Below are 8274 nucleotides of genomic sequence, written 5' to 3'. Positions count from 1 at the left end.
TGCCCACCTCTATTTTTCGTAGAGATGGGGTTTCAGCATGTTGGCCAAGCTGCTCTTGAACTCCTGACCTCAAGCGATCTGCCTGATTCAGCCTCCCAAAGTGCCTATAGGCATGAGCCACCACACCCAGCCTGATCCCTTATATTTTTGTAGAATCAGTTGCAATGTCTCCTTCGTCTCTGATTTGGAGTCTACTTTTTTCTTAGTCCAGCTAAAGATTTATCTTTTCAAAAACCAACTCTTTATCTTGTTGATCTTCCATAATTTTATTTTATTTTATTTTTCGAGATGGAGTCTCGCTCTGTCGCCCAGGCTGGAGTGCAGTGGTGCAATCTCGGCCCACTGCAAGCTCCGCCTCCTGGGTTCACGCCATTCTCCTGCCTCAGCCTCCTGAGTAGCTGGGACTACAGGCGCCTGCCACCACGCCTGGCTAATTTTTTGTATTTTTAGTAGAGACGGGGTTTCACCATGTTAGTCAGGATGGTCTCAATCTCCTGACCTGGTGATCCGCCCGCCTCGGCCTCCCAAAGTGCTGGGATTGCAGGCATGAGCCACCGCACTTGGCCAATCTTTTGTAATTTTTTAAGTCTCTGTTCCATTTATTTCTGCTCTGATCTTTATTATTTCCTTCCTTCTACTAATTTTGTGTTTAGTTTGTTCTTTTTTCTAGTTCCTTGAGGTATAATACAATATTACATTGCTGAAGATCTTCCTCCTTTTGTGATGTAGGCACTTACTGCTATAAACGTCCCACTAAGAACTGCTTTTGCTGTATTGCATGGGTTTTAGTGTGTGTTCATTTTCATTTGTCTCAAGAAATTCATTCCTCTTTATTTCATTCCAGCCTGAGTGAGACTCTATCTCAAAAAAAAAAAAAAAAAAAAAAGCGGGAGCAGGCACGGTGGCTCATATCTGTAATCCCAGCACTTTGGGAGGACAAGGCAGGTGGATCACGAGGTTAAGAGATCAAGACTATCCTGGCCAACATGGTAAAACCCTGTCTGTACTAAAAATACAAAAATTAGCTGGGGGTGATGGCACAGACCTGTAGTCCCAGCTACTTGGGAGGCTGAGGCAGGACAATTGCTTGAACCTGGGAGGCAGAGGTTGCAGTGAGCCGAGATTGTGCCACTGCGCTCCAGCCTGGTGACAGAGACTCTGTCTCAAAAAAAATAAATAAATAAAAGGGGGAAACTGTTAGTCTGACACCACAAAAATGACGTTTCTTTCCGTATTCTCGTTTTATATTAAGATTTAAACTATAATTAAGATTAGTTTATTATAGTCCCCAAATTGATAGCCAGTTATTTCCATACGATTTCAACTCAACAAAGATTTGAGTGTCAGCTAATGGATTTGAAATTTCTCTATAAGTATAGGCTCATATTTTCTTGACTTTTAATACATTTTTCTTTACCTTATAACAAGCCTACAACTTTTTTTTTGCCCCATAAAAACTACATTCTATTAAGTTAATTAACCCTTTAAAAATATAGCTTGAATCCGCCCTTTTTTCTCAAAGACCTCGCTGTCTAGGCAAGGGTTAAGTGAATACACTGATGAGAACAATAGGGAGCACAACAAAGTAAGTGCTATAAACCCAGCTGTCATTGGTAGCCCTGAGAGATTACATTTTAGTGGGAATGCAGAAAATGCCTTTTTCTGGGTTCTTAAAGACTAGATTTGATAGGAGATGATGGATGCTGGGAAAATAGAGGAGTAAGGCAGTCGAGGAAGAGGTACCAGCATAAGGAGACACACCAGCATGAGCCCAAGTGTGAAACTGCAGATGTCTTTTGGAAACAAGAAGGCAGATTGTGGTGAAAAGTTAAGTAATGCTAGATGAGTTTACACAGTCAGACCTCTGTATCTGTGGCATCTACATCTATGGATTAAGCCAACTGTGGATGAAAAATATTTTTTAAAAATTACATCTGTGCTGAACATGTACAGACTGTTTTCCATGTCATTATTTTCTAAATACAGTATGACAACTATTTACATAGCATTTACATCTTACTAGGTATTATAAGTAATCCAGAGGTGATTTAAAGTATACAGGAGGATGTGAGGTTATATGCACATACTATGCCATTTTGTCTTTCGGATTTGAGCATCCCCAGATCTTGGTATCCATGGGAGGTCCTGGAGCCAATCTGCCATGGATACTGAGGGACAACTGTACTTCAGTCAGTAGACGGGAAAACAGAAAATACAGATGTAGAAATAGTTTAGGGCTCAAAAATGGCTGACTCAAGCTATATTTTTAAAGGGTTAATTAACTTAGTATAGTTTTATGGGGCAAAAAAATAAAAGAAGTTGTAGGCTTGTTGTAAGAAAAATGTATTAAAAGTCAAGAAAATATGAGCCTATACTTAGAAAAATTTCCATAGACTTAAGGTCCTCATGGTCTCAATAAGTGGGATTTTTATGCTGATGGTTAGGATGCACAAAAGCTGATGTTTAGTCTACAAGAGCTCATCAGTGAATAAAATCTGGTATCATCCTCCTGGCTCCATCCTCAGAGGGGACAGCGAGATAGCATCAAAGATATGGTGTGGAAGAAAGAGAACAATCCCTTGGGGTAAATAGAATAGCCTGTCTCATTCTACTTTCCCAGAGAATGATACCTCTTTGATAGAAAGAACGAAGGGACTATAAAAGTTAGGGCAGATTTCTGAATACGTAGTAGGGCAGTGTTTTCGACTCAAGAGTTAAGAGAGGTGCGCAAGCAAATCAGGGCATTGCCACTGAGAAGTGACCCCACATTTAAGGGAGAATGTGCTACATGTGTTTTCTGATCTTCATCTGTACTCTTTATGTCCAGCTTACAAGACCAAGGTTCATGGTTCAGGGACTACATCCAGAGAAAAATCCCACACTGGACCATGGTTGACAGAATAGGGGGAAAAAAGGCTTTCTCCCCACAAAAGACAACTGTCCCTGAAAGGTCAGCGACGTTCCCTTTAGAAGCAAGTTGCCTGCTGTGATGCTTCTCTTGGATGTTCAAAAACATCCCCAGCTAGCCCTATGTGTTCTGCCCTCAGAAATGAGCACAGCTTTCCAAGAGGATCTACAGCTTTTGCATGGTGCCCAGTCAAGTTTTCTTTGTATTTCCTAATACTCCACCTGTTTGCACCCTGACTGCTTCTGAAAGGCACAGCAGCTTACTCGTGCATTAGGTTAGGTTTCACTACATTCTCCCTTTGTGGAGTTCTAATTTTGCTTCCAGTTGTAGGCAAGACTTAAGATACAAATCAGTAAGTTAAAGTTGGTATAATAACCTACATGTTAAGGGTGGTGGGAAGAGTAGTGGATAGGAGGCAGTTAAAATCGATGCAAGTTTTGGGAAAAAAAATTTAAGGAATGCTGAATTTTTGATGAAATAGGTCTTCAGCATGATGCTATATTAATGAAGGGTGAATATGTGAGAAGAGACTCAGAACAGTAAAACACAGGTACCACCTTCCTTAGAAGACCATGGTCCTGGCTCTGAGTCCAATAGCCAGAGTTCCCCACATCAAAGCCCAGGACTGAGACTTCTCATGAGGCCTCCATAGCACTCTAGGTGTTGATGGCCTCAAGTCAGCAGAAATTATGCTGGGTGAGAATACTCAGCCAAGACTGAGACACACACAGGTGTGGAAAGCCACGACTTACAGTCTTCCCTCCATGACTCCTTCTCTGTTGGTTCTCGGTCTCCTACCCTCCCCAATATCATCAGTCATGCTGTGATGGGATTGCGCCCTTTTCACAATTCCCTTATTCCTTGAAGCTGAATTGGATTTGGTGGCTAGAAGAAAAAAGATCCTGTGGTTTTTCTGAAGTCACATTTGACAAACTCTAGATCAATGTATTTTTTTCCAGATCTTGATGTTGTGCAGTGCAAAAAGGAGAGGAGGTACACTATTTGTCTGGATAAAGAATCTCACTTCTCAGTGTCTCTTCCTGGGTCCTTTCTTTTTGAAGGCATGAACTGGCTGAAGGTGCTTCCTTCTCCCAGAGCCACCCTGTTTTATGACCTTTCATGTCTCCTTAATCCATACAGGCTTTCCCTCTATAAAGTAATCAGTCTGGTAGAGGAGAAGAAAACTAGATGTAAGGGAAAGAAAGCAATAAAACCATTAGGAACAGAAAATTTATTATTATGCAACTAGCAAGCTGGGGTCAAAGGGCTTTCCCAAAAAAAGTTGTGTTTCCCTATATTACAGGTACCAAAACAGAGCAAAACATCCAGGAGAACCAAACTGAAACTCAGAAAAGAGACAATTTCTGAGGCCCACCAGATCCTGATTCCATTTTGAAATACTCTATTGCAGTACCTCTGGGTAAATATTAGCTGGTTGCTAAAGACAGGATCTGAGGCTGGGCCAATTCTTAAGGCACCAGCTGTCTTGAGGAGGAAGATGAAGACTGTGAATGAAGGACAGCAGACTTGCTTCTAGGAAAATAATATCTGATAAGGATGGTCAAGGAAGATACATGTCATCACTTTAAACCAACTTTACCAAAACGACTAGTTCTCTAGTAATTATTGAAATAACTGTTCTAGAAGTAGTATGCTTTAATTCTCTCACGATATCATAAACACTTTCAATATTAGTACTTATTGCTGCTGTTGTTTTCAGAGTACTAAAACTCTTTAGATACTGCTCGAATTGTGCAAGCACATAAAAGCTGGCTTCTCTAAGTTTTTACAGTGATTTAAATATCTTGAAGACCATCACTGAGTGAATTTCAGTCAAATATGTAAAAAGATGGAGTTTCTGTGTGATTATAGCACTTGGGGTCAATTCTGCTTTCTCTAGTAATTTTGGGACTCAATATAATAGTTCAAAATATGCTAACTTATAGAGCAAGGAGGTCATTAGAAGAAAACGCTAGTCTAGCTAAAGTAGATCATGACTTCATGGTTAAAATAAATTTCATACTGCTTTTTAACAATACATCAAAAAGGTTCAGGAATAAAATAGTTCACTTATTTGTTTGCTTAACTGTTCATTAAAATGAACAGTGTGAAGTTCTTAGAATTAAGCCTTGTTCCACAGACCTGAAGGATCTCTAGAGAAGTGATGTGACAGACTCAATATGTTACCAAATTAACAATTGCTCAATTAATTCTCCCCTTCATGTATCTTTTAATTTATCTGCTGGCATCCAGAAATGCTTGGATGTGTTGATCCTGTTGGGTGTACATATTTGATACACACAAGTTAGAAAGTGCTTCTTTCTTTGTCTCACTGAAGAGGGGGAAAGTAAAGACTGTGGCAGGAAGAAACTTGGTCTTGGATTAAGAACTGACACCAGAAAATGAACACATTTTCCCTCTTGGGTTGGGAGAACACACAATGAAGATCACAAAAGGATACATGTAAGTTGGGATGCCTCTTGCAGCCAGATGTTTCCGAATAAGTCGCTCAGTACCATACCAGTTAAAACCTTTCGTGGCATGTCCAATACGTGGAAGATGAACACTTGCTATTATGAAGAGAAGAACACATGTCTTCACTCATCAAAAATTGATTGATGGGTATAAAATACACATGGGAGAAAATTATTATTGACTATCTCCCTCAAAGCCCATAATTATAATGTCAAAAATATTCCGGGGGAAGAATTGTAGTAAGAAAAATTAAATTATTCTGTTGAACACAAGGACCTACAAGTTCTGGAAATACATACAATTGGAAATAGATTATGATTGGTGGAGGCAAAATTAAAATAAGCAAAGATTCTCTAACAAGCCAATCAATTCAATAAGCTCTGAGACACACTAGGTTTCGAAACAAAACTAAACTCAATTTTTGTCGAAGAACTGTCTGTTATTGGGAACTGTGACTCTCCAAGAGGAGATTAAATAAACAGCATTTACCAACTACATATGACCAAGTTGCTTCATGTCTAGTCCTCTGCCACCTCATCTGTAAAATCACGATAAAAATACCCGGGGGATGGAGACGGCCTACAGAGATAACCGGTATTAAAAGTGTTTTGGAAAGGACAAGGGGCTATATGACTACAAGACGGTGGGGTGATCACTTCTGTGGTTTGCCTTTACCGTGCATATTAAGTGGGATCTTGACATTTCTTACCTCCCTTCAAAAGTCGTATCACATGCCTAGAAACAAATTCATCTACTCTTGAGCACAGGTGGAAGAGCTTACCTTTCTTCTTTTTTGCTGCTAAAAATATCTTCTTCAGGCCCTCTTCTAGGGCTGCCATCTTAATGCCAGACAGGACATTGGAACGATCACGATGCTGAGCCACAATCAAGGCCAACTGGAAAGAACCACCATTAGATGACCAACCCAACATGAAACAGCCACACTCAACCAAGTGACCGCCCATGGAGGCGGCACAGCCCTTGATGGGTCACTTGGGCTTGGCTCTGTCTCTTTCGGATGCTATGCCTGAACAGCAATGTCCTACTATATGTATGACTTCATATCCCGTCATAATTCTTACTTTGTGGTCACTTTATACAGGGTTTTCTTCTTCTTTTTAAAATACTTTAAAACCAGAGAATGAGTCCAAAACATATACTTTCCAAAAGCTCTCAAGGGTTAAAAAAAAAAAGAGAATTTTTCTGAATTGTAGGCATGGAAAAGATCTTAGAGGCTCCTGTATCCCAGCCCTTTGATGCCTGAGTCAGCTCCACAACCCCCAGGACAAGCAGTCATTCCATCTCTGTTCGAACAATTCCCATGAGGACAAAATGCCAAGTATCTCTCAACCATCCTAACCTAAGTGGGCGAGCTGGAGAGTGTCAAGGGAGCTTCCGGGATGACATCACCACAGTCATATCATAGACATGGTGCTCTACTCCCTGTAAACAGTTTTCCTGAATCACTGGATTCTGAGTTTCTCATGCACAGACACTTTACTTTTCTCCTTTTTTAGCATTTTAGAAATTACTGAAGGAATGACTCAACAGAAACCACTTTGCTGTTAGTCACTGTGTAGTTTGGATGTGTGTCCCCCTCCAAATCTCATGTTAGGATGTAATCCCCAGTGTTGGAGGTGGGGCCTAGTGGGAGGTATTGGATCATGGGGTGGATCCCTCATGGATGGCTTAATGCCATACCCTTGGTGATGAGTTCTTGCTCTGGTAGTTCACATGACATCTAGTTATTTAAAGCAGTGTGGCACCTTCCCCCACTCTCTCTTGTTCCTGCTCTTGCCATGTGTGATACACTAGCTTCCCCTTTGCCTTCCACCATGACTGTGAGCTTCCTGAAGCCCCCAGCAGGAGCAGATGTCAGTATCAGGCTTCCTGTACAGCATGCAGAAGCATGAGCAAATAAATCTCTTTTCTTTGTAAATTACCCAGTCTCAGGGAATTCTTTTATCACAGTGCAAAAACAGCCTAACACAGTCACATAGACAGCAACCTCAAAAGGATGAGCCTCTCTTTTGGCCTGATTTTGAAATTTCTTAATTCTGGCTTAAAATCTGAACATGAACCCAGGCCTTGGAGAAAGCCAGGTAGGTGGGGTAAATCAAACTCACTACAGGCATCCCAAGATGCCTAAGATGCAAAAGGATTCTGATGTGGGCAGAGGACATATGTGTTAGTTCCTCTCTCCTGCTTTATTATGGCTGACTAGAAAACACAATCTTTCATAGAAATTTTCACATAGTAAGAAATGAAACCGTCAGAGTTCTGAGTCATGCCTTCTTACTCATGCAGTAAATGTTTATGGAGCATTTCTTATGAGCTAGTACTATGTAGGGTACTGAGGATAAAAAGACAAATAGAAATCCTCGTACTTAAGATGGGATCTGCTATCTGGACGGTGCTCCGGGGACAGATGGATGGAAGCCTGGGGACAGGGGAAGTACAGTGGAGACTATGGCCCAATCTGCTTGTTATAGGCTGAACTGTGTCCCCCCAAATTCATATATTGAAGCCCCAACCCCCCGTACCTCATGTTTACTGTATTTAGAGACAGAGTCTTTAAAGGGGCAATGAAGTTAAAACAAGGGTTTAGGGTGGGGCCTGATCCATTCTGAGTGCTATCCTTATAAGAAAGGAAATCTGGACACACAGACACCAGGGTTGTGCATGCACAGCAAGATGACCGCCATCTGCAAGCCAAGGAGAGAATCCTCGGGAGAAACCAAACCTGCCGATACCTTGATCTTGGACTTTCGGCCTCCAGAACTATAAGGAAATACATTTCTGTTGTTTAAGCTACCTAGTCTGTGTCTTTTTGTTATGGCAGCCCTAACAAACTAATACACTAGCAGAGAGGCCAATTGGGGCAGGGGACA

The 8274-nt window shown here is 41.1% G+C and overlaps 1 protein-coding gene across 38 annotated transcripts in view, besides 1 other annotated feature; it reads right to left on the bottom strand.

Annotated features, from left to right (window-relative positions):
- Positions 4125-8274, bottom strand: part of CHD1L (chromodomain helicase DNA binding protein 1 like) — a 123016-nt gene continuing 118866 nt past the window's right edge. For all 38 annotated transcript variants that reach the window (NR_145686.2, NR_145682.2, NR_046070.3 and 35 more), the window contains 3 exons: positions 6165-6279; positions 5370-5478; positions 4125-4456 (listed from right to left, as the gene is read on the bottom strand). Coding sequence is in view for 22 of the 38 variants with exons in the window: in NM_001348451.2 (NP_001335380.1) it covers positions 4378-4456; positions 5370-5478; positions 6165-6279 (303 nt within the window). In the remaining 16 variants the exon portion in view is untranslated. The remainder of the gene's footprint in view (positions 4457-5369; positions 5479-6164; positions 6280-8274) is intronic.
- Positions 5932-7129: an enhancer, noted in NCBI's record as "BRD4-independent group 4 enhancer chr1:146764440-146765639 (GRCh37/hg19 assembly coordinates)". NCBI's record gives its function as "activates an origin of replication core promoter dependent on BRD2, P300/CBP, MED14 and CDK7 cofactors, and independent of BRD4, by STARR-seq in HCT116 cells {active_cell/tissue: HCT116}" and the evidence as "EXISTENCE:reporter gene assay evidence [ECO:0000049][PMID:35650434]".

Source organism: Homo sapiens, chromosome 1 (genome assembly GCF_000001405.40).
Source record: "Homo sapiens chromosome 1, GRCh38.p14 Primary Assembly".
NCBI lineage: Eukaryota > Metazoa > Chordata > Mammalia > Primates > Hominidae > Homo > Homo sapiens.
The sequence above is the reverse complement of the archived record's forward strand: the minus strand, read 5'-3'. Positions and strand labels throughout refer to the sequence as shown.